At 39.5% G+C, this 26,891-nt stretch overlaps 1 protein-coding gene across 21 annotated transcripts in view, besides 1 other annotated feature; it reads right to left on the bottom strand.

Moving 5' to 3' along the window:
• The window catches only part of AUTS2 (activator of transcription and developmental regulator AUTS2), a 1,195,032-nt gene that overhangs the window by 913,223 nt on the left and 254,918 nt on the right, over positions 1 to 26,891 (bottom strand). The window lies entirely within an intron of this gene.
• Positions 17,586 to 19,402: an enhancer, noted in NCBI's record as "VISTA enhancer hs2315". NCBI's record gives its function as "enhancer in: hindbrain (rhombencephalon)[4/13] | midbrain (mesencephalon)[12/13] | forebrain[5/13] | eye[11/13]" and the evidence as "EXISTENCE:transgenic organism evidence [ECO:0001131][PMID:17130149]".

The raw sequence follows: 26,891 nt of genomic DNA, 5'->3' as shown, positions 1-26,891 counted from the left end.
GGTGAGAGGTGACTGGATGATGGGGACGGATTTCCCCCTTGCTGTTCTCATGATACTGAGTGAGCTCTCACGAGATCTAGTTGTTTAAAAGTGTGTGGCACCCCCACCCCCACTTTCTTCCTCCTGCCCAGGCCACGTAAGATGTGCCTGCTTCCCCTTCACCTTCCACCATGAATGAAGATTTCCTGAAGCCTCCCCAACCATGCTTCTTGTACAGCCTGCAGAACCATGAGACAATTAAACCTCTTTTCTTTATAAGTTACCCAGTCTCAGTTAGTTCTTTGTAGCAGTGCAAGAATGGACTAATACACTGGGCAACATAGGGAAATCCCATCTCTCTAAAAAATTAAAAGGTACTCAGGATGCTGACATGGTAGAATTGTCTAAGCCTGGGAAGTCAAGGCTGCAGCAACCTATGATCACACCACTGCACTCCAGCCTGAGTGACAGGGTAAGACCTTGTCTCAAAAAAAATAAAAATCAATTTTTCACAGGAAAGGACTGAGGGCCGTGATTCACAGTGGCAAGGCAGGTGTTTGAATCAGCTTTTTACACCAGAGCCTATGCTACACTCACTAGGTAAGTTATTTAACATTTTCCTCATCTGTAACATAGGGATGATAATAGTATTTACCTCATAGGATTTTTGTGAGAATTTAATAAGTTAATATATATAATGTGCTTAGAAGAGTGTCAAGATCTAGGAAATGCTCAGTCCACTTTGGTCATCATTACATTTAGTACTCTAGGAACAAGCAAAATATATTACTGGCGAGGAAATAAGCAGCCACAGAAACTGCCTACATTTTCTGGAGGCAAATGTTCAAAATCTCAGGCTGGGCACAGTGGCTCGCGCCTGCAATCCCACCACTTTGGGAGGCTGAGGTGAGTGGATGACTTGAGCCCAGGAGGTCAGGATCAGCCTGGGCAACATGGCAAAATCCCGTCTCTACAAAAAAAAAAGAAAAAAAAAATAGCCGGGCATGGTGGCACATGCCTGTAGTCCCAGCTACTTGGGATGATGAAGTGGGAGGATGACTTGAGCCCAGGATGGAGGGAAGCTGCAGTGAGCTGAGATCGTGCCACCGCACTCCAGCCTGGGCGACAGAGCAAGACCCTGTCTCAAACACACACACACACACACACACACACACACACACACAGAAAGTCTCAAATATCTATAACTGAGGGTTCCAGAGATTTATCCTGGAACACAATAATACCAAATAACTGATAAAGCAGCAGCATCAGAGTAAAAGGACAAGCCCCAGTCTGCATCTCAAAGCACAACGGTGAGTGAACAGCTCTCCCACCCTAAGGTGGTATCCCAAAGGGCCCTCAGCTGTAAGAACACAGAAAGAGCCTCAGCAATAGCAATCCCTACTTTCTACTCTTTTCAATAGCAGGACACCCTATCTTAAGAGCGACTGGTTGAGTATAGAAACACAATGGCATTACATCAGTGGCTATGCAGAGATGAAAGCCAGCTCTAAGACACACACTCAGGGTAAATTAGTATCGTGGCTAATACATAATTGATGCTCTTCCTAGTTAAAAATGTACTGCTCTCCAGCATTCACAGGATGAGAGATGTGATTTGGATTCAATTAAAAGCTCTATCCTGTCCAAGGAAAGAAATTCTGCCTCTCCGAGTCATGTGGCTTCTTCTTTACTTCTTATGCCAGATTGACCTCTGGAAGCCTCAAGAACCATCCGTTTTCACTGGGGCTGCTTAGGCAGTACCTGGACATCTCTCTCCTGCAGGAGAGTGAAAGGGAGACACCACTTTCAAGAGAGACAATGAAACAAGGAGGCGTTTTCCACCTCCTCAAAGATTAGCTTTGACCCTGGATGTGAGCACTGGTTCTTGTCATTTAGTCTAAAAGAAAAGGTGTGGGGGTAAATAAACGATTTCCTGAACAAAAATGTTGCAGTCATAAAACAGCTGCAGTAAAATTGGACATAATAAGGTTTTGGGATGTGGCCAGTCCTTCCCCTCCCCGCTCCCTCCACCTTAGGGTTCTCCTACTACAAACCATTGTTTGTCCAGCAGACTTCAAGACTCACTTCCTCCTTAGCAGTTCTGGTCATGCAGGAAATGTCCACATATTCACTACCTCCTCACCCTACCTGCCACCACCATCCTCTTTGCCTTTCTATTCTGCTGTGGGATTAGGATTAGGATACCAACCTGTCTCCCTCACATTCTCTCTTTACACACATGCCCCCCACCGTCTACCCCAGCCCACTATGCTATGCAGGCATCTATGGCATGGCCACTTCTACCTTGTGGCTCCTCCTAGGAAGATCCATGGCTCCCTGCTGCTTACACCAAAAGATGGTACCAACTATATCTTCTCCACGGCCTGCCATGACTCTGGTGATGTCCTGCACACAACTCATTCTTCACTACGTGCCTCAGGGATGATTTCTCTCTCCCAAGCACCCCTCTAGCACTTTCTGTCTACACCAGTGGTCTGTAGGATGTTCCACTGAGGGGTAAGACTGCATTATAATGTCTATTTAAATGTGTTTTTCTCCTAAGCGAATTACCACAGTAACAGGAAAACCAAATACTGCATGTTCTCACCCGTAAGTGGGAACTAAACACTAGGTACTCATAGAAATAAAGACGGCAACAAAAGACACTGGGGACTATCAGAAGTGGGAGGGAGGAGGCAAGAGTTGAAAAACTGCCAGGTACTATGCTTAGTACCTGGGTGACGGGGTCATTCATACCCCAAGCCTCAGCATCACCCAGTATACTCAGGTAACACCCCTGCATGTGTATCCCTTGAATCTAAAATAAAAGTTTAAGTAAATAAATAAATATGCATCTCATTCTTTATTACTTTCTAATTCGGTATGTTTCTGATCTATATATTAGTACAGTAGTATAAATATAAAACTTTAAAATGAGGTGCTTACTCTAAGTGATTTGTCCAACTGGGGTTCACAATCAAAAAAGTTTGAAGACTTTTGGTTTAGACTAGGCACAGGGAAGCAAGCTTCCTGGTGGCAGAAGGCTTTTCACACACTTCTTTACTCAAAGCTCTTAACACTCAAAATGGTCACTAACTGATTCATTGACAGAGTAACTAGACATTATAAATCAAGGCCTATATACCCAAGGAGGTAGAAAAGGATGCTCTCTGAAACCAAATCCCAGTATTTGGCAAATAAGTAAATCATTAAGCTGCAAAAAATAAACCATATTTAGAACAAGTGTCAGCGGATCATTTTGGGAAACTAACAACATAATGAAGACTTCAGAAGGGCCATGGACCTCTAGGTAACAAGTCCCAAGCTAATCAGTGGGCAACCAACAAACACATCATCTATTATGTGATCTGGCCCATAGACTTCACTCAACAAAACATCAGAGATTTGCCTATCTGAATAGGATACTGTATTTAAACAGAAAAGCAAGGGAAGATGTGATAATACCTGCTCACCAACACATGTTTTTCTCATTAGGGAAGTTCAAAGTTGCCACAGTCCTGTTAATACTACTAGGTCAATGTACTGGAAAAGGGTCTAAATCCTTATGTCAATTCCTGTAGTAAAAGTTGCATCCAATTCCAGATCAATCAGGTGGCTTATGCAGTTATCATTATCCCTACTCCTAGGATACAAACCCTCTGAGGAAAAGACTGTCTCACACCTATCAAATATCCCACAGCACCAAGTCTGGTCCTTGGTAGCTCTCAAAAGAAATTTGTTATATGAACACTGAAAATATATATATATATATATATATATATATATATATATATATATATATATATATATATATATACACAAAATATTTTATGTATATATATAATGTATTTTATATATATCTCAAAATATATATAAATATAAAATACATTATGTATATATAATACATATTATATATACATATATATATATATATATATATATATATATATATTTTTTTTTTTTTTTTTTTTTTTTTGAGACAGAGTCTCGCTCCATCACCCAGGCTGGAGTGCAGCGGCACAGTCTCAGCTCACTGCAACCTCTGCCTCCCGAGGTACAGGCGCACGCCACCACACCCAGCTAATTTTTTTGTATTTTTAGTAGAGACGGGGTTTCACCGTGTTCGTTAGGATGGTCTCGATCTCCTGACCGCGTGAACTGCCCACCTCGGCCTCCCAAAGTGCTGGGATTACAGATATGAGCCACCACACCTGGCCACACTGCATATTTTTTAAAGTTAAAATTCAATATTTTTATTACAACTGGTTTTGTTAATTTGTACTATCAAATGAATTCTAGATTTATTAAAAGGCAGAAGGTCAGTATGCACATATATCCAAAACACAAATCTGAAATCAGAAATTGCTAAGCAATAGGAACAACCATTTGTGAATAACTATTTACTAATGTACTATTAGACGCTACTATAAGAATATTAAGAATAATAACAACATTCTTTCCCTCCTCTACATGCAGTTGAGTTGACTGAGAGGGTGCATAGAGGCTCTGACCTCTTCAAAGAGTTCCATTTCCAGAGCCCTGGGGTCCCAAAGTCTGAACCTGTGATGGAAAGTAATGATGCTCTCTCCATAAGGTTCAATTGGGACACCACTTTTGTGCTTCCTAAAATGATACTAAAATAAATCTATAGTCGCCAACATTTTCTACACATGAACCATAGGCCATCTATCAAGCTACTTGTGTCACAAACAGACCTGTGAGCCATTTTCATCCCACAGGCTCTACACAAAAATGGAACCAGGATATGGGCATAAATCTTTTAAGTCCCATGAGCCTCATGTTGGTAATCTAATGAGACAATCAATTTAACAATAATAATAATAATCCTCTTAATGCCAGAAATCTTAGCACTAAATTTGCAATCTGGCTCAGATAGGAGCAAGAAACAAATAATTTCTCTTCTGAACCACAGAAGAAAAAAAGATCAAAGTTACTTTTTCTCAATTATCTTCAGAAAAGTATCAAACTAGTACCATTTAGATACACAGGAGAGAAAGTAATTCCATAAACACAATGGATACCTTAGACTGAGCATCCAGTATTTAAGAAAGGCTCACCTAGACTTTCAAATACATACTTATTTGATATACTGGCAAATGCCTAGACAGTCAAGTGCAATGGTTTAAAAGAGAGCAAAAAGCTCATCCAGGAAGAATGGGGTTGGGGGAGAAGGAATAAATATGCAAAGCGTGATCAATGGATCCACAGAGGAATTCAGTGAAAGATGAAAATGGAAAAAAAAAAAGGGTTGGGGGTAGATTATAGTCAATAGATAATCATCGAAGGTTCAGGGAGGCATCACGAGTTGACAGATGTACATCCTAGATACCCAACATCAAACAGATGCAATGCAACTGGACGTAATGGCTCACACCTGAGGTCAAGAGTTCGCGACCAGCCTGGCCGACATGGTGAAACCCCGTCTGTACTAAAAATACAAAACAAACAAACAAAAATAGCTGGGCATGGTGGTGCATGCCTATGATCCCAGGTACTTGGGAGGCTGAGGCATGAGAATCTCTTGAACCAGGGAGGCAAAGGTTGCAGTAAGCCGAGATCGCGTCACTGCACTCCAGCCTGGGTGACAGAGATAAACTCCGTCTCCACAACTTGGAAAAAAAAAATAGATGCAATGCCTGGGGCTGACACCTACAAATTCCACCTTCTTAATCTCCGCCATCTGTTGTCCACCTCACTGTGACTACACTGCTACTACCTTAATTCAGACCTCCTCATCTGGACTTCCATTAACAACATCCCAAGTGGCCTCCATGTCTCCAGCCTTTCAGCCTGTTGTAGGATTGTGACATCTCCAAAGTGCAAGTTTAAGCATGCCACTTCCTTGCTTACAATGTTCAATGGCTATCCAATAATCAATTTCAATCTCCAAATAAAGCCTTCCATGACTGGGACCCTGCTTATGGTTCTAACCTCTTTCTTATCACCATCTTCTGGACTCCCACCTCTGGAGTAAGTATACTCCAGACATGCTAAACTACTTTAAGTTTCCCAGTCATGCCAAGTGTGTCTTCACGTCTCTTGTTCTTTTTTTTTGACACACGGTCTCACTATGTTGCCAAGGCTGCTCTTAAACTCCTGGGCTCATGTGATCCTCCTGCCCTGGTCTCCCAAATTGCTGAGATTACAGGCATGAGCCCACTGTGTCCAGCCTCTAAGTCTCTTTAAAACTGCAACTTCCTCTGCCAGTAATAACCTTCTTCCCTAGCCCACCCAGGCCTCTCAGCTTGGCTATCTTCTACTTAGCTTTAAAGTTTCCATTATCCTTAACAAAACACTTGTTCTTCTGTGTTATAATTTACATTCACTTTTCCAACCAATTACCAATCTATGGATTCCTCCAGGCCACAGTCTAGAAGTGCTGATAGGTATTAAGTATCAATAAACATTACACAAATGAATAAATCAACTTCTTCCTCAAAGATGTATCTATTCCAGGGATAATCTTCATACATAAAGTAGGTGTAATTCCAGCTATTCTGTGACACACTCTTCTGGGAGGTGAGAAGTTGGGCATGGTATTCTAACAAGATCTGAGTCATTCCCTTAGGATAGATAATCATTTCTGTTCCTTGCAGCATTTCTAACAAATCAGCACAGGTTTCCAGCTTAAGAAATGAATGCCAATCTAGCTTCCAATCTCAGCAAAGAATCAGTAAGGGTGGTTAACGATAACAGTCACTCACATTGACTGGCCAAGTGCTGTGTTCATCTGCCTAGATCTCACGACGATCTCATACAGTCTAATTCTCTCATCTTATAAATGAGAATATTGATGTTCTGAGATAAGCTAGTGTTCTCAACCCTGACTGCTAACTCTGGGATGCAAAAAAAAAAAAAAAAAGCCTGAGCCCCACCCAACGGCAACTAAATTCAAATCTCTACAGGTGTTTATTCAAAGTTCCTTAACCATACCAATAAGGGCTGAGAACCACCAAGTAAGGTTACTAAATTTCCCAGCTCCTATGCTGCAGAGCTACCACAGCAACCTAAAGTCAATCTGATTCCACAGCCAGACAGATCTGTGAAGCACTGCACTCTGTTAAGCTAGTTCTCTGAACTTATAAATCCTGGAACATTAATCTTTTTTCCTCAAAGTATTAGCAGATGATAACCACTTGATTAGAAGAGAGTCTCTTTAGAATATAGACTATATCTCTGGGAGGCTGAGGCGGGCGGATCAGCTGAGGTCAGGAGTTCGAGACCAGCCTGGCCAACATGGTAAAACCCTGTCTCTACTAAAAATACAAAAATTATCTGGGTGTGATGGTGCGTGCCTGTAATCCCAGCTACTCGGGAGGCTGAGGCAGGAGAATCGCTTGAACCTGGCAGGCTAAGGTTGCAGTGAGCTAAGATCACACCACTGCACTCCAGCCAGGGTGACAAAGTGAGACTCTGTCTCAAAAAAAAAAAAAAAAAAAAAAAAAAGAATATAGGCTACATCAAGTGCCACCTCAAATGTGAAAGTCAACTTCCTGGTCCTCATCTGAGAGGGCAAAGAAGGTTCCCTGCTACTTTAATAGTAGTTTTAACTGCACCTTCTACAAGTTCTACTTCCTACCAACCACTGTAGTGGTTGCAATGGACCACAGGATACTAATCTGCCACATGCAAGAAAAAAAAAGGGAGGCCTACTTTCTCAGGAGACAACAAATCAGAAAAAGAAAAATGACTTGTATAATTCGGGAGAAAAAAAGGCAAAAAATGTTAAAGCCTCTTAAAATGCTGTTTTAGATACTCTAGTACCCCGAATACATTAGAAACTAAACAGAGAAACACTGTTTTAATTTCAGCACTTAGAATAGAATTCAGGTTCACATTCAGACACAACACTTGACACTGATATATTAAGGACATATCCAACATGACAAGAAAAGGAGGAGGAGGAAGAAAACATTTCAGCAAGTTACAGATAAAAGGTGGAAAGGCACAATGGATTGATGTTCTAACCTTTCCTACTTTTGAAGCCTGAGTTTCAAACAAGGAACGTAAGAGATAATTCATGCTTTCCTCAGTGTGAAAACACAGGGCATCAGGCCCAGCTTATGTCTCTGCTGTGCTTCCTTATCTATTAAGGTCAGAGCCAGCTTCATGGGTGTGTGACCTGTGCAATCGCTCAGGGCCCTGCACTCAGAAGGGCTCGGCACTTGGTTTAATGCTCTATAATCTTATCTTTGAACTTTGTTTTGTAAGTTAAGTCGGATAACACAGTGGAACATGTCCATGAGTAGAAAAAATACACGCAACAGGCGCGAGCGAATTCCTGGCTGCCCCATTCACATAGTGTTTGTATGTCCCAGTAACATAGAACTCCAGTGAGCCTGCAATATGTGACAGTTCAGTAAAAATCAGAGTACAGCAGTCCCCCTTATCTCCAGTTTCACAATTTCAGTCACCCATAGTCAACTACAATCTGAAAATATTAAATGAAAAATTCCAGAAATAAGCAACTCATAGTTTTAAATTTTGAGGCATTATGAATAGCATGAGGCCCTGTGCTGTCCTGCTCTGTCTCACCCAAACATGAATCATCCCTTTGTCCAGCATGTCCACGCTATAGATGCTACTCATCCATTAGTCACTTAGTAGCCGTCTCAGATCAGTTATCAGATCAACAGATCACAAAAAGGGTGAGTAGAGTACAGTAAGATATTTTGAGAGAGAGACCACATTCACATAGCTTTTAGTACTGTGGTTAATAACTGTTGTTTTAGTTATTGTTGTTAAATCTCTGTTATTGTTGTTAGCTCTCTTACTGTCCCTAATTAAACTTATCACAGCCACGTACGTATAGGAAAAAGCATAGTATATACAGGGGCCAGTACTATCTGTGGTTTCCGGCATCCACTAGGGGTCTTGGAATGTATTCCCCATGGATAAAGGGGGGACTACCCTATAAGTGTGTTATGGTTACGACGAAGCCAGAGGAAAGACAGACAACCTTGGGAGCCTATACTTTCCCTTCAAATCAAAACTTCAATTTAAAGGCAGAAAGCTGGAAATAGTGTTCTAAAACAAACATGAATGGCAAGAAATCCTAACATACCTTTTCTTACACATATTACTTCCCTGTATTAGCCAATCACACTGAAAATGACACAGGAGGAAAGGGAAAGACAGTCCCTTTCAGTCCTTCCTTACTCATTGTAATCTGAAGGTAGAGAGTGTTGGTTAAATGTGTGCATATCAACAAGTGAAATAAAAACCTCTGAGTTCATTTCATGCAGTGTTTCCACTGTGCGGTAAAAACAAAATACATTATGTGCCTATGAGGCATAACATAAACTGTATAAATTCAGTGATTCTACATACAAGTTGAATGCTCTCATATCTGCATTTAAAACTGGCATTGCACAACAGAACCATGAATGGTAAAATTCATGCTAGCAATTTAAAATTTGAATTTTTCCTCACTTAAAGCAACATTAAACAGCTAATTTAAAACACCATAAAAAGTTGAGAGAGATCCCCTAGAAGAAAAATATTTTATATTTTACCACCTTTAATGGCACCTTTGTCCTACTTTCTATACAACAGGCTCCATGCTTTCATTCTGCACTGGGCCCTGTAACTTATACAGTCTGTCCTGATTAAGTTAACCTGTCGTGTAGTAAAGAGGGGACTGTAAGAAGTGTAAGACAAGTAAGCATCTCTGGCCAAGGATCTAGGGTTGTACTTTTTTCTGTCATCTTTAGTACTAACACAGTACTTAACACATGTTGTTTTATTTTTTTTTTTTGTTTCATCCCTGGTACTTACATATGTCTGTGTGTATGTCTGTATATAACGTGAATACATATATATATATATATATTACACACACATACGCACAGATATGTATATATATGACAATTTTTGCTACATTGTTCTCTTAATATTATTCCTTAAGTCAATTCACATTTTTAACTTAAATATCTACATAATTTTTAACCTAAATATCTACTTTAGCTTTAACTTAAGCAATATGATTTGTTATACATCAAGGAAAAAAGTGAACAAATTCCCCCGGTCTTACTAATATGTTAAAAGGTAATGAGTCCTATGAGGAAAGAAAGTAAAACAAAAGAACAAAGGCAGGGACCAAATATCAACAGTGATTTACAATAAAGTTAGTTACTCTTATCCATTTGTCAATCCATGTTCTCTTGCCCCATATATTAAAGGCTTTTGAATTCTAAAAAGAAGTTAATAGGCTTCCACAGTATATTAACAATCACAGTCTCAAACAGCATTTTCCAAATCATTTATGAAAACTGGGACAATTAGGAATTATCCAAGTACTTTTTAGGAAATCATTTTTAATCAGATAAGGCACAGTTTTTTCTATTATATCTCCAAAGATACAGTTCCCATGCCATCAAACTATGAGTCTCTGAATATGTACCTGCTGCTCACTTCATTCTAAGGACCAAGATTATACACTAAGGAACTTGTGCAAGGCCTGAATGATATCAACTGCATATATTTGGTTAACAAGTAGACAATAATGTTGTTTCCCAGTATAATTTGAGATGATATGCCATGTTCAATTCAGTCATTGACTTTGCCTCTTTTAGCCTCCTTACCCCATCATTGAGTCATGGATCCTTTGAATATAGGTATACAACAACCGAGGGATGCTATCCATTTATTAATCCAAGATTCCCCAAGAATACCACAAATTTATTTGCTTATCCAATATTTTTCAAGAACTTCTTCTGTACATGAGTGTGTGTGTGTATATATATATATATATGATCCTTGACCTCAAAAAGTTCAAACTTTGTTAGGGGACTATACATAACAAACAAAAAATAATATTTTATTTTAATAATTTATGTGATATAAAATATTTAGATAATATTTTATCAAAATAAAGGACACGATGCCTCAAATCAGAAATAAAATATATCAAAAATGAGCCAGGAATTTCAAGCACTGATAGGCAGGAGATGCTAATGAAGGTACTGTGGCAGGAAGGGCTCCTGAGTAGGACTTACATCTTTTCTCATCCACATCATCCAGTATTCACAAAATGCACATTATAGGTGCTCAATAAACACTGATAGAATTGACTCTCTTGCCAGCTTCCCAATATTTCTCCCTACGGTTGTGCAGAATGTCATTTCCAAGAATATTTCGCTTGCGTAACTCTGTGGTACAACCACATGTTCAAAAAAATCCTGCCCAAACATTAACAGTGCAATACTTCAAACTCACAGGTCAACGGTGGCTGATCCCCTTCATTCAGAAAGGCTGTTTGTACAGGGGAGGCAGCTGTTCCTCAAAAGAAGACCCAATGTGTATTATAGGTATGCACTGAACCAAAGGCAAATACCTCTTCCAGCACAATGCACAGGTATGAAAACAGCTCTTCATCTTCCAAGCTAGCAGAGGGGAACACTGGTACAATTACTCCTAAACTGCCTAATTCCCAAATCACTTACATTCAAAAGTCAATACAGGTAGTGGAAAGAGCAATGGCCCAAAAGGCCTAAGATCAAGATTTAAGTCTTGCTTGATCTTAAGCAAGCCATTTCACCTATCAAAATTTCAAATTTATCTCTTATAAAATGAGGAGACAAATCATCACTGTTCTCTCATAGACTGTCAGGAGAATCAAATCAGAACGTATGCACAGGCTTGGTAAAAAGCAAAGCATGGAACAAATATTGCAGAATCATTTTATTAAGCTTTGGAGTAGACTTACTTATGTGGTCTGAGGAAGATTTAGCTTCATAATTAGTTTGTACTCCACATATAACCTGGGTGACAGAGGGAAGCTAGTCTTGGATAAAAACTTCGCTCAATCAAGAATTTACTGTCTTCATCATCCAATTGTTTGTGTTAAGAATCTTTATGCCAGAAGAAATTGAGCTAAGAGAGCTGGGCACAATTTAAATGAGGAAAAAATTGTTGAATACTTCAACATTTGTTTTTGACACAGGTGCTTGTGATATATCATATGTAACAATGGTCTACCGCTTGCACTAAATATTCTCACCTCAAAATCAGGAGCATCTTCTTAGCAAAGAGATAAAGCTGAATCCTAGGATAAATGGCTGATTCCAATAGCCAACAGAAGCTTTTCATTAGGTAGCTAACTTATAAATCTTATGCACAAACTGTTTCATAATTTGTCCACAGTCTTACATTTTTCAGTAAGGAAAGCATTGGGAATATTTAACACACAATAAACTTAAATTTTTCTTCTTTATAATGTTTTCTTTAATGTAAAATTTTATTTTTATTTCAAATATATGCCTATGTAGGGTTACTAGATAAAATACAGGATGCCCAGCTAAATCTGAATTTCCTATATGATTTTTTAGAGTAAGTATTCTCAAATATTGCATGAGACATACTTATACTAAAAAATAATTATTTGTTTATCTAGATTCAAATTTATCTATGTGTCCTGTATTTTTATTTGCTAATTCTGGCACTGCGCCTATTTCAAATGACTCCTGTTGGTTTAATTTAGGAGGAAAAAATAGGGGGAGAGAGGGAGGGTGACACATTATGAAACCAGGGTGAAGGTAACGAGCTTAGTTAAAAACAAAGGAAGATTTTTGCCACGCACTCTTAAGTTAGATGAACAAAAATAAGGAAAAACAAGTGAGGTTTTAGTACTCTAATCCTGGGTCAGTGGATTGGAAGGGAAGAATTGGAAGAGAATTTAAGCAAGGACAAAAGGCCAAAAAGGAAATGCTGTACTAGACCTCAGAACCAGAACATCACTGCCCTGGGGAAACCAAAAAGGGAAAAATATTCACGACCATATTTTAAAAAGTAACAGAACAGGTGCTTCTGCAGTTCAGGAACGTGAGCAGTTTTTAAAACATAAAACAACTCCCTTGTGTTAGTCATCTTCCTATTAAATGTGATTCAATATAATCTACTTGTTAAAGCATCTACAAGTATACTGCTCAGTGACTCAATTTGAGTAGGTGAGCAAAAAAGGCAATTTAAAAATCCACCCTTGTGATGAATTCAGCCAGGCCGCCCAGATTACAAACTCCCACCAAGTCCTCAAGGCCTATCTGCCTCCCAAACTCCATCTCATCAACTCAAGGAGTCAGAATTCCCCTTTAATAGCAGAGAAAAGACCACCTAAGCTGGCTCACAACAAAGCAGATGAAAGGATACTGCTAGTCTACACAATTCTCACTGCTCCTTCATCCTCTTTACGAGACACACCAGAGCAGGCCCCACATCACCCTAACAATCCTAAAGGCTGAAGCTGGCAGAAGACCTCTGCCTCCTAGACTTCTTTACTTGCTCAAGTTGGCTAAAGAACCACTGAGTGATACATGGGTCCTTTTTCCAGGCTGACAGAAGCATCAAGCACTGGCCTAAAGGCCAAGAGTCTTGAACCCCAGCCGGCTAACCCAGGCTGTAAATGCTTACTAAACATAAGCAACTAGATTAAGGTGTTGCTGGGCAAACCACAACCCATAGGCTATGCTAGAAAATCCCCGGGAAGGTGGAAATAATTCCTTCTATCTCAGTTCTCACATTCTAGTTGAAGCTGACTCAGACCCTAGGCTCTTACCTTTCTAACCATCGTCTTCTGCTGTAAGTGTACATCATCTACTGTGACAGGAATGTTGAGGAAGACCTAAAAATTGTATTCCAGAACTTTGCTTGCTCTGTGATTTTTTCCAACTACTACTTGCAACAGTATATTGCATTTAAAATTAATAGAAAAAGCTCTGTTGAAAACAAAAGGAATATGCTATCAAAATGATGATCATCCAGCAGAGAGAGGAGGTCCTTAAATACCTACAGTATGTGACAGGTGCCTTAACATAAGTGCAGTAGTCATTTATACCTAGAGCAACAAAGTACACTCCAGGGGGGCAATCATGGAAGGTTTCCAAGAAAAGGCATCCAAGCTGGGCTTTAGCAAGGACAGGGTTTTGAAAGGCATACAGGGGAGAACAGGGAGAACAAAACACACACCTATAAGGAAAAGTTAGTAAAAGACAGGGCTGGGTTGTTTGGGTATGGGAGGGAACTACTTAATCACCAGGACTGGGAGGTTTGGAATTCATTTTTGGGCAATGGGGAGCCAATGAAGGCTTTGGAGTAGTAGGCAGAAATAAGTAGATGAGCAGAGGACTAGGCAGGCTTGGGAGCAAAAGACACCATTAACTACCAGATCAGTTAAGAGGATGATCAGCTACTTGCAGGTGATGTGTAAGGAAGATCTGGACAAGGCAGGTAGCAAAAGAAATGAAAAGGAAAGGACTTATAACAGACAAGAAAAAGGTAGAACTCATGAGCAGTGAAGTCAGGGAGAAGACTACAAACATGAATACAATTTTAAGTAGGAAGACATGGAAAACGTAAGCACCATTATAAAAGGTAAGGAAGAGTTAGGGAGAGGGTACATTTTATCCTAGATACATTGTGCTTCTAATAAAATTTCTGGAAGAGAGATATGGATATGAAGTTGAGGAGAAAAATTTGGACAGGAAATAAAAATTGGGCTATTACTGGCTTTTTTGTATAATGGATGATATGCACTGATGATGTCTCTAAATTCGAAGAGACAGCAAAATAGGACTTGATGCAGTACACACAGGGGTTAAAAAGGAAATGAGAATGAAAGAGAATGGCCTTGGCACAAGATATGGATAAAGCAAAAGAAAAATGTGATGTCGCAGAAAGAAAACATTTCAAGGACAGAACTATTAACCCTTAACCAACATCAGAGGGTCCTTTTGCAACAGGGGAAGAGGAATAAGGAAGAGTCCTTGAACTAGGAAATTAGAGGGTTTTAAGTGAGATTTCATCCCTGTCAACATCAATGACCAGCGTGGATGCCACCTGATACTGAGAGCCCTCTGTATTCAAAACACATCTAAGAAATTCTGGACAGCACAGAGACTACCAAATTTTAAAAATTCAACAGTGACTCAGGACACACTGAACATAGCTCTGGGCACCATTCGGAAATAAACACTTTAACCATAAGTGTCAAAGGGCATGTGTGTAGCCCAGGCCCAAAGACCAGACAAACCAATATTGTCTCACAGAAACCCTTTTCCACCTCCCCAAACTCCCACTCCCCACTTGCTGCCTTCTTAGTCGCAGCCATCACTCACTTCAAGCAAAGCAGTGCACAGAATATCACAGTCTAAATACACAACGCCCTTAAAAAAAAAAAAAAAACCTACCATCCTATAATATCCAACACACAAGACATAAATCTTTCTGTTCATTCACGTCTGTGAGTGAAAAAAACAGCTGAAGGCAGATATATGAACTTCCTATCCACCCTGCAGGTTATTTGTAATACAGAGAGTGAAACTTACATAATGTGTGTACAGAAGAGCAGATGGGTCTTCCAATAAGTAAAATACGATCCTACACATTTTTTCCCTTTCTCACTACACTTTTAATTCACTAGTTGCCTTGTCTCTTTCCAGGAATATTCTCTTTTTATTCTCAACTCCCATCTATTTGGATAGATCATTAGCAACACAAATCACAGTGTCAGTGCCAACCCAACAGCATTATGCAATTTACTGCATGGCACCTGGCATTAATGCTTCTGTTATCCGATTTTAAGAGTCATTATTTCAAATATTTTAAATAAAGTATGTTCTCCCTCTCAGTATACAGAATGATAAATGGTTTGCAAATAAATGTGAGCCTCCACTTAGTATGCCAACCAGTAAACAATGCTCCTGCTGCTGTGGCCCCTTTTATTATTTGAATCCTGAAGAAACTGTTCTGCAAGCATCATGGCTGCAAGATGACATCTGTGTGTTCATTAATGCATCATTTCCTCTGCACAGAAGCCCTACAACTGAAATTTAATTCTAATCTCTAATTGAACAAAATTGCTTTCAGATGACAAATTAAGGAGAGGGAACCACACCCAGCACAGGGCTGCAACAGGAGAGAGCTGCATCATCTCTTCTCTAGCATGGAGGAAAACAGCAACAAAAAATTGACTAGGAATTGATTTGCTCTCACTTGGCTGCACCGTAGGGGGAAAAAAAGAACAGGAGACAATTTGCTTTATTGCAGTTATTTCCTAAACAAAGTGAATGTCTGAGAATTTGAATTTAAAATCTCACAGTAATCTACTAAATGTTGGAACAAAGTATGTGTTATTGGAGGCATGGCACCTGCTTGACATGCTCTAAATCTTGGTTTTGAAGGCAGACAGATGTACTTGGGTTTAAACATTGTAATGTCTAATGGGAGCAGTGATTTATTTTGCTTGGGACTAAGACTCCCACCCCTGCATTATTTCCTGGTATCAGAACCATAGCCCAAGTCACAGGTCTGTCAGAGAGACAGGAAGGCAGATTGCAAGCCTGAGAGACGGACAGGTTTCAGAGCAGGGAATGAAACGCAGAAGTCAGAAGTCTGTATGGTCAGCCTCTCCCCTACCCAACGGGTGCTGGCCTTAATGGCATTATGGTGCTTTGTATCTCCCTGGGCTTCATTTCAGCACACCCAGGATGTACTCAGGTGTGGAGGGGCACACACGCAGCCTCCCCAGCTCTGGGGCAGGGCTGCCACATAACTCAATCCAGCTGTGGCTACAGCAGTGGATTCTGTAATTAGGTGGAACCTTCATCTAGACTTCTTCTAAGTCATACACGTGGTAACACATAGATTCAGAATAATTACTGGGGGCATGGTTTCTGTAAGCAGTTCTTAAACTTTTGAAGAATCATAAAACTTTTGGAGACTATGAGAATCTGACAGACACAATACTGCCTAAGAAAAATGCATATAATTATGGAACTTTGCAGACTCCCCTAAAGCCAATCTCTGGCCTATATATTTATATGAATACAGTTGTCCCGCTGTATCTGTGGGGGATTGGTTCCAGCATCCCCCAAGATCCTAAAATCCACGAATGCTCAAGTCCCTTTGTAAAATTTGCATATAACCTACTCACATCCTCCCATATGTTTTAAATCATCTGTACATTACTTACATAATACCTAATATAATTTAAATGGTATGTAAATGGTTGTTATACTATATTGTTTAGGGAATAATGAGAAGGACAAAAGTCTGTACATGTTCAGTACAGAATCAAACATCCTTTTTTTCTTCTTCAAATACTTTCCATGCATGGTTAGCTGAATCAACTAATACAGAACCCATGGATAGACAGACTGTATATACAAATATACACATATGTGTATGTAAGAATGTACACCCTATCACCACCCCGAGTCCTCGTATCTTTGGAAGACTCAGGTGAATGTGGAAAAGAACATGTGTGGTATGATGGGGTAGTCTCTGAGCCAAACGTCTCGGAAATCTCTTCACTAATCAGACAACTTCCTGGCTCAGGAGGCATTTTTCCAAGCATCATTTTAAACAGCTCAGCTTGGCAGCACCAAAAGAAAACAGGACTATCCATTTAATATCAGCCTCCAGCTTTCACTCCAGATAATCTTAGACAGAATCCCGCTGCCTTTTCATATCATTATGAAAAGTGCTCATAAAATAAGTGCCTTATCAGGAGTAGAGACTGTGCAGGGTAACTGGTCACATGGGTTGTAGCTCGCCTCCAATGGCCCAGATCTACCAGCCCATCTCCCCAAGTCACCTTTAAGCTTCCTTCTAAAAAGAAAAATAAGTCACATAATTCATCTCTAATCTACTTTGAAGATACAATGTCATCCTAAGTAACTGGATTAAAACCTCATACACAACTGTCTAAGGGGAAGTTTCTGACCCTAAAAAAAAGCAAAAGAGATTAATGGCCCTCCTTTCAGAAAATGGTCTCATCCTACAGGGACACTTACCTTTGTGTCTGACTGGGCGATTTTACAACTCTGAAAAGTGTCTATAGCTATGCAAATACATTCTGTCCCCTAGAGGAACAACCCTCCCCCAAAAGTTTTGTGTTCATTTGTGGGTTCGTTTTCATTTCCTTTATTCCATATAAATTTGTGGTTCTTTCATTTCTCCTTGGTACCTGTTGTAACATCTATCTGGTTCCCTCATTTAAAATAAGTAAAATTTTTGACATGTGGATATTTTATATCTGCATGAGTCATGATTTTACCTTTTTTGAATATTATCTATTCACAACTATTAGAGGTGATATAGTTTAGATCCAAGAAAGAATAAAAACCTGCCTCTAGCATTCTGAACAGACATCAGGAGGTAAAATAACTTAAAGGTAAAAAGCAAGTTAAGAAACTAGAGTGTCCTTTCCAAAGGATACCATCTTTAATGTTCACGGCAGGTGCCCCAAATTGAGAATTACCAAAGGTAAAAAGAATGTTCAATGTTAAATTCAAAACCACACGAGAGACTAACTCAAAAACTTGGTTATGAGGCACAGGATTCCAGGAAGCACACTCATGTTCTACTAACTAGAACAGCAAACCAACTCCATCACCAAAAGTCTAAACAAGTTATCCTGCCATCTTCTGAGACGGGAAAAAGGCCAAGAGAGTAGTCACGTTGGTCACCTATCCCCTATCTTCCCCAGAATGTGAGGAAACCACACTTCAGGACTGGCAATTCTAGGAGATTCCAAGGAAAGCTTCAGAGGTATTAAGAAATAATCATTTATCTGAATTAACATTCCACTCCAGATGAGGTAATTAATTAGGCAAAAGAAAACAATCCTTAGTACTTTGCTCTAATAATTAACAAACGTTAAATCTGCCATTGGTAATTTACTACACTGGGAACAGAAAATTTCAATTGTTTAACCTCAACCTGCAAGCCTTTTATCTCCTTGCAAGCCTTTTTCAATAATCCTTTATCGGCTGACATTATGGAAAGTACAAAAGCAGTGGGGCACTGCTCAAGATGCTTACTTAACCTTTATAACTGTGAGATGGTACAGTGTGTGCATTTTTCACAGTGACAGGCTGCTTTATAGGGAACATCCACAGGCAAGAGACGGGAGCACCATGTCCCTCCAAAAAGAGAATGGCATCCTCCCTATTTTCCCAACCACCATGCAGCACACTTCTATAATTCTATGTTAATCCCTGCACTAGGAGACAGCCAAAATCCATTTATGGGTCCTTCAAGCATTGCTTTCAGAATATGGTAAAAGCCCTTCTGAAGGGGGTAAGGGGAGAGCAGCAGCATTACTTCCCACCCCCTCCTACAAATCAAAGAGAAAGGCATATTGAATCCTGCTTTTTTAGTAACTTGAAGCCCTGCATAAAAATCTGCTTAACAGCTTCAGCCTGGGAATCAGCTATTTTTTTTAAGGAAGCTGCATTGCCTGTGAGGTGGGCTTTGTTTTCAGTGTTGTGTTGGCTACATTTTCAATGAGTCGATTCCCAGGTTTTGAGTGCCATGTCCATTACAATGAAATATGGGTCTTTGATTTAATAAAATCATGACATCGGACATCTGAAGTTCTTTCAGAGGAAAAGTAGCCTCCGAATAATTAATAACTTGGCAAATATCATGTGACCTTAAATATGCTTTTGTATAAAGCAGTTGACATTGCAAGAAGCAGTACCCTCAGAACCCTGTGAAGGACACACCCTGTGGGACCTGGCATCCTACTTGGTGAGTCAATGGCATTGGCATAATTAGAGAGCTTACTTTAAAGAAACCCAAGATTCTGTTGGGTTATGTGGGAAAAAAAAATTAAGCAACATGTGCCCTTGTGTTTGCTATAGCTCTTTACAATTGAATCTGAGGAGAGGGAGGTGAGGGGAGGAACTGGGCCAGTGACAGACGGACCAGCTCTGCAAGTGGAAGGAAAAGTGCCATGGTTCCCTGGTAAATTGTGATTCCGGTGCAGGGGTGTGGGGGATGTTGGAAAAGAGCACAAGGAGAATCTTGGGATGATCTGGGTGGTGGTGACATGAAAGGACACACACATAAGAATATATCAAGTTATCCCTTAAGATGAGTACATTTGATTGTATGTTAATTATACCTCTCTAAAAAAATAGAAAGTTTTTTTTAAATCCCTGATTGAAATCCAGGTGTTCCTGCCTTCCCCTTCAGATATCACCATGGTGTAGAGAAAGAACCTCAGACTACACCTCAGAGCCCCAGGCTCCAGCCCTCACTAGCTGTCTCTCCTTGGTTAAATGCCTTTTCCTACCTGTAACTCAGGTCATCATCCTTAAACCAGAAATAGATAACCTGATAGTTAGGGTCAAGGGTCCTCAAAATTGCAGCTGAATCAGCATCAGAGCTCTTTGTCCTCCTGATTCAAGCATCAGAGACAGAAAATAAAACAAAAAACAACAACAACAAAAAAAAACACCTCTTTGTCAGGCAGGTATAATGTCCTTAAAATTTTCTAAATTTGAATGTCTCTTCAGTCTCCCCCATTGCTTATAGTTGTCCAATTCATTCACTCTGCTACCTGTCTACCCCAGGAACATGTGAGTTTGAGAGTCCTACTCTGGATCCTCAAGGTCATTTTCAGTCCTTAAACTCTGTAATTTAGAGTTCAGGTACTCTACTAGGGTTTTGTTGTTGTTGTTTTTGTTTGTTTTGTTTTTTCACTCTGGCTCTGACAGGCTTGACAGAACAGAGGATTTTAGCAGAGCAACTAGAGCATCTATCTGAAGTAGAATTATCCAGTAACAAGTATCCTGCACAACCCAGCTCACTGGCTCTTGAAGTCAACTAGCTCATAACAAATCTTGAGATGGCTAACCAGGTATGGTCACATGTTCTTATTCTCCTAAATCTACAAAGCAAACATCCACAAGAGATTAGGGTTTAATGCCTATTTTTGGATGGAGATAAGAATAGGAGTGACTAGAATCAATAACCACAAACAAATGAATATGAGTCTGAGACTAATGACTTCTGCCCGTTACTAACAGTCTCTCTGTTTGTCATCTTGTCTAACACTTCATCAAATTCTGAGGTCAGTTTTTGGAATACATTAAAAGAAAATTATCCTGCAAAACTGGAGACATGATAGTTAACAATTTTTTTGTTGTAACTTAACAATAAACTTAGTATGACCAAAACATAAAGCTCTTACATATACCATCTATTCACCTCTAACTTTATTTCTTTTTCTTTTGAAACAATCTTTATTTCTATTTCCTTTTAAACAATCCTTAAGTGAGGCTAAAGAGATATCCCACTGGAGTAATTTTAAACCCTCTTTGCTTCCTTTGAAAGCACAATATCCTCAAATCTTATACAGTGGTTAATAGCTCTTGCTTTCATTTCGTAAATGTTGGTACAATGACTGTCCTGACAAGGTTCTCTGCTTCAACAAGCACAATATTTGGAATGATGAAGATGCTGTGAGCATGGACCCTTCTCTATAATGTTTAATATAACAGTCCTATTCACTTCTATTCACTTGACAATTGCAGCGGTTTCCAGGAAGTTAAGTAAAGAAGAAATAATTAGTACCTACATGATATCCAGTGCTACACAAGGCAATGTCAGGGCAAAAAGAGTAAATCCAAGACTCAGTCTCTGGCCACACGGGCCTTACAGTACATACCTAGCAAACCTCTCATGATTCCAAAGAGTGAGGCAAGCCTAGTAACTGCCCTGTGAAGTCTTTTTTATTCCAGGGCTGACCCCCAGTTGTTCCTATTCTTTAGTACTTTCACTCCTCTTCCTCTTTGCCAAGGCTTCCTTGCCTTCTGACCACCTTCCCTTCTGTTAGCAGCCAATCAAAGCATCACATGGGACAGAGAGAGAGAGAAGGTGTAAATTCCATCCATTCTATTCTCAGCCCAAAGCAGCTCAGCAGGGGAAGCATTTAAATTTATAGACCAAAACAAAATTTAGGACTCACCTTGGAGTTTCACAGAAAGTCAGAGAGAAAAGACCTTGAAGGGCATTAAGTCCAACCTCTTCTCTTTACAATAGAGGAGGACCAGGAGAAAGTGACTATCTCAGCAGCCAGGGTAGGTGAGTTTTAGCACCTATTTAGCTTGCAAATTAAAAAGCAGTGCATGACTCACAAGTCTTGGTCTACTTCTAAGCTCCACCCTCATACTGGTTTTTTACCATTATTAATAACCCCAAGGCACTGACATCCAGGTGATTCTCCTGAAACCAACAGCAGCAACTAAAGCTTATGCTACTTTGAACATACAAAGATAATATTTTGGACCTACCACACGAAGGACGTGCACTCTGAGCTATTTCCCCAGAAGTGGTCATAAATTGTCACTGATCTAGCCACACACCAGGTCCTTGTGATGGTCACCTCTATGAGAAGTTTGGTTAGGGGGTCTGGAGAACAGACTGGGGGTAGACAGCAGAGCACGGCTCATCAGACTCCATGCCCCTAACACCTGTGCTCAGGGCAATAAGACAATGCCCAAGGTGCCATCAGACTGCCCATAAGGCAATGACTAGACCTGGAGATTGCCAAAAATTCACCCTAAGGCTTGCTACGGTTATTGGCTGGATATCCCCTTAATCAGAGCCAATGAGAAAAATCCTTTTGGCACACAGGTGTTATTCATCACCAAGGAGGAATGTCTTTTTTTTTTTTTTGAGACGGAGTCTCACTCTGTCACCCAGTCTGGAGTGCAGTGGCACAAACCCAGCTCACTGCAACCTCCGCCTCCCAGGTTCACACCATTCTCCTGCCTCAGCCTCCCGGGAATGTCTTAATAAACAGTAGTCCAAAAGTACGAATTTAATTCCAACTATTGAGAAACAACGTACACTTAGAGGCTGCTATGTAAACTTCTGTATAATAAATGAACCATCTATATCTCTAAGACGATAAATAAAAATTTTAAGCACTCATTCCATAGCCCTACTTTCCTCCCTTCAGAGAATGAGGTAGAAGCAATTATAGCAATTATAATCTGCCTATTATCAGTAAGAAGAAAATATTTTGTCATTGCATTGTTTCAAAGAGGGTTTAGCAGGCAGGTCGAATGCCAGACCTTTGAGGGAGAATTTACACAGCAAAGACGGCTCCTTGTGATTCTGCTGCATCAGCAGCAGGACCCTCATTGTACGACACTGTCAAAACAGGCAAATAAAGACCGACATATAGAAATAATACCTCTCAGGGCTCATTTCCAGGACTGCGTGAGCCTGCTTTGTTTCAATGCAGCGCACAAGAGCAGGGATTTTATTAGACATTTCAAAGGGGCTGCTTAGCTAGGGGGAGCAGACGAGGAGCCCTCTAAGTGTATGTGTGAATACACTGCACATGTCTGACTGACTACAATTCCATCACTCCAAGGTGCCTAGGGCAAAAGGAACTAGGCAAAGAGCTTAAGGATTACTATGCACATAGAATCTCATTATACTGATTTAACAGGGGAAAATAAAAAGAAATAGCTTCTGCATCCCCTCCTCTGGAGCCGTGAAATTCCTGGCTTTTCAAAGAAAAACAGTAGTTCCTAGAAGAATACAAAATGTTGCCATTTCAAGTGCCCACTATAGTTCAAGGCCACTGTGTACAAATGTTCCAATATACCATCAGTCAAGGGCAACAAGCATGGAGGGAACCTGTAAGAGATCCCAGGAAAAGCACTGAATCCGCTGATCCAACTGTGTCCTGTAGAAACAAGGGTACAACAAGGAAAGATGATATTTAGCTAATATTTTCTTGTTCAGAAAACTCTCTCACACACATTATTTCATTTATTTCTTAAGTGAGTAGGTGTGAGGAGACCCACTGCACAACTGAGGAAACTAAGGCTGAGAATACTTAAGTGACTTGTCCAAGACTATGCAACTAGTTAATGCATCCAGCTTAGTCTGTAATGAGATGAGGGAGCTAGAAGGTGACGGCCAATCAAAACTGGAAGCCTAGGGGTCTAAAAGATCTCCTGTTTATAATACTAAAAAAAGTGGCTGATGTAAAGTTGAAATACAGAGAGGGACCGCAGGAACTGAGATTACCAGTTCAGGTGTTAATTTTTAATAATAAAGATTCAAGAGACGAGTTAACTGAGGAGAGGACACAGAAAATGCGTTACTAAAGTATGCTTCTCAAAGCTCAGCTTCTAGGCACCAGGCCTGCCTTGGTGATCACTTTCTTCCTTTCTCCCTCACTTCTTCCTTCCAGGCTGAAGGAAGGAGTCCCAAGACTGAGCCTCTGTTTCAGGCCTATGCTAGGTGGAACAAGAAAGTTCCACTGACCCCTTGGGACTCAGCCTATTTCTAAAGTACTCAGTTAAAAGTTGGGGCTCACCTGAGGAAACATAAAAAAAATGAAGCATGTAGAATAGTGAATTATCTAAAATCCAAAAAGTGAGGAATGGCACAAACAACCTGCAATATTTAGTCAGGAAACACAGAGAAACTTGATTTATTCCATCCACTCAGAAGAATCACTGCGGGGAAGCCACAGGCAAGCTAACTGTGTCTCAATCCAAGAAAATAACTCTTAAAAATGGAAGTCATGCCATGGTAAAATTAGCCAACCTAAGGTCCCCACCACCCACCATCCCTGAGGCCCTGAAGCAGAAGTTGGTTGACAAGTCCCTAAGACTGAAGAGGCAGAGGGTGGAAGCCTGGCTAAGGGGCCCTCACAGCAAGAGTTGATAATTCTTAGCCCCTTGTTTGTTCTTTACGGAACACACACAAACAAATATCTACCTACCTGAAGGCATTCATTATAAGTTAAGTCTGGCAGTTATACGGACTACAACCAACATTTAAAGTCTAGAAAGCTAAGATACAAAGTGACGTGGATTAACAAAGCAATTCATAAACCTTTACAGACTCCAACTAGAAATGAACTACATTAAGTGCCTTATCTACTCTCTTGAGTTGAGAAAACTGAAACCCTGTAAAGGAAGAATATTGGGTAAGTATGAGACTATAATGAAATGATAAAATATTACTAAAATGCAGTCCAGAGGATACAGTAACAAGGGCCCAGGTCTTCAAGTTTGGAGGCTAAATCACAAAAGGCCTTAAAAGTCATTTTACCTCTACAGGTGTCAGGTTTCTTGTCTATAAAATGAATAGGCTGCTCAAACAGATCTCTATTAGCCTGTCCAATAATAAAATTCCGTGATACCACAGAGATAAAACAGAAAATGTTAATTTCACAACAATAAGATTGGTTTAGTACTTAGCTTGTCCATGAACTATAACCTCTGATTTGCTTTTGAAGCCATTTTCTTCTGCTTCTAGAATCTTCATTTTACACAGACTAGGTCCATCACGTACATTGTGAAGCTCATAGGTAATGCTCTTAATTTATAGACAAGACCCTTTCTTTTCCCAGCATTCAGCGTAAGGGGTAAAATTATTTGTTTTCTGTAGATTTTCACCAATCTCAAAACATGTACTTGAGAAGGAAAGCATTCATCAATAAAGTCTCTATTTGCATTGAAAAGTAAACAGTAGACCATGGTGTACCTAACTTTAGAAGTATCAATATCTTCCCCAAAATTAAACCAAACTCCCACAAACACATATGGTTTCTGGACTACACTCTAGAAATAGAAAATGAGTGAAATCTTACAGATGACTTGTGAATTGAAAGATTCTGAAGAAAGATGTAACTAAAGTCACAGAACAATTACAAGAACAAAGAAACACATAATTACTGAATATCCCCAGCATCTCGCACAATAATTATCACACAGTAGGCTCTATAAATAATTGCTGAATTAATCACTCAATCACACTCCAACAGAGAAATGAGAAGATAACGTTAATTTTTCAAAAATAAAATTAAAGTGACACTAAAGATGAATCAATTGGAAGAATACAGTTACTAGATCACATCTTAAATTTTGCTAGGAACATTAAGAAACACACAGACACGCTGACAGATAAAACCACTATGGCACTAAAAGAAACTAGCAATGGATAAAATCTAGGTTATATCTTTTACCTTTCATTGAAGCAAATAAAAATAATAAAATGCTTAAGAATTCAAACTAGGTCCCAACAGATCAAAAAGCTCTAAAGAATTCAGGTTGATGAAGTACAAGAGAATACAGGGAGGAAGTAAAACATAAAGGTTAAGAGCATGAACTTTAAACTCTAAGACCTGTATTCAAGTCCCAGTTTTAACACTCCCTAGCTAAGTGACCTTAGCAAATCACTTGACTTCTCTAAGCCTCTGTTTCCTCAGCTACACAGTAAGATAATTATACCTAACAGGGTGAATTTAGAAAGTCACTGAAAGGCATTGGTAGCACAGTGCTGGGCAATTACAAGGTACTTAATAAATGATTCAGGACTTATAATCGGTATTAGGGTATTCCAACTGCAAAGCATAAGTTTGAGTAAAATTTCTTAATGGAATATGTTAGAGAAGGAGAAAAGGGTAGAGTGGTGTCAAAGAGAAAGAAAGAGTACACGTATAAATTTTCATTCCTATAAGGGAACCTCATAAAATCTGTTAATATTGTTCTAGAGCAACATGATTTCATATATCACTTAGATATAATAACTGATGTCCAAATAGAATTTAAATGTTGAATCCTTTTTCACTTTCATCTCACTTACAGCAATATTGTGGTATAGGTGTATCAATAATTTTTTTTAATTTTAAAAGTAAAGAAGCAGTTCCAGAAAGATGGAACAGATGTACTTTTCCTATCATTTCTGCTAAGTACAGTAAAACAATTCCTGGGTGTTATATATATAACATGAACATTAAAAGATTCTTGAAGGTAGAGAGAACAGGCAGAACTGCTAGGGACCTTAGGATGCAAGGAACTTCAAAGTGATGAGCTGCCTGGGTCTTCTAACACACCAATAATTTCATTAAAGGTACAGTGACTAAATATACCAATTAAAATACAGATTGGTTGAATGAATAAAAAAGCATGAACTATATGCTATCCATAAACTCACTTCAAGTATAATGATAAATATATGTAAAAAGTAAAAATATGAAAAATATATACAATGAAAACAGTCAAAAGAAAACAGGAGTACCTACATGAATAAAATAAGTAGACTTCAGAACATAGAAAATTAGTAGA

The sequence above is a fragment of the Homo sapiens genome, chromosome 7, assembly GCF_000001405.40.
Source record: "Homo sapiens chromosome 7, GRCh38.p14 Primary Assembly".
Taxonomy (NCBI): domain Eukaryota; kingdom Metazoa; phylum Chordata; class Mammalia; order Primates; family Hominidae; genus Homo; species Homo sapiens.
This window is presented reverse-complemented; position numbering and strand designations above follow the sequence as displayed.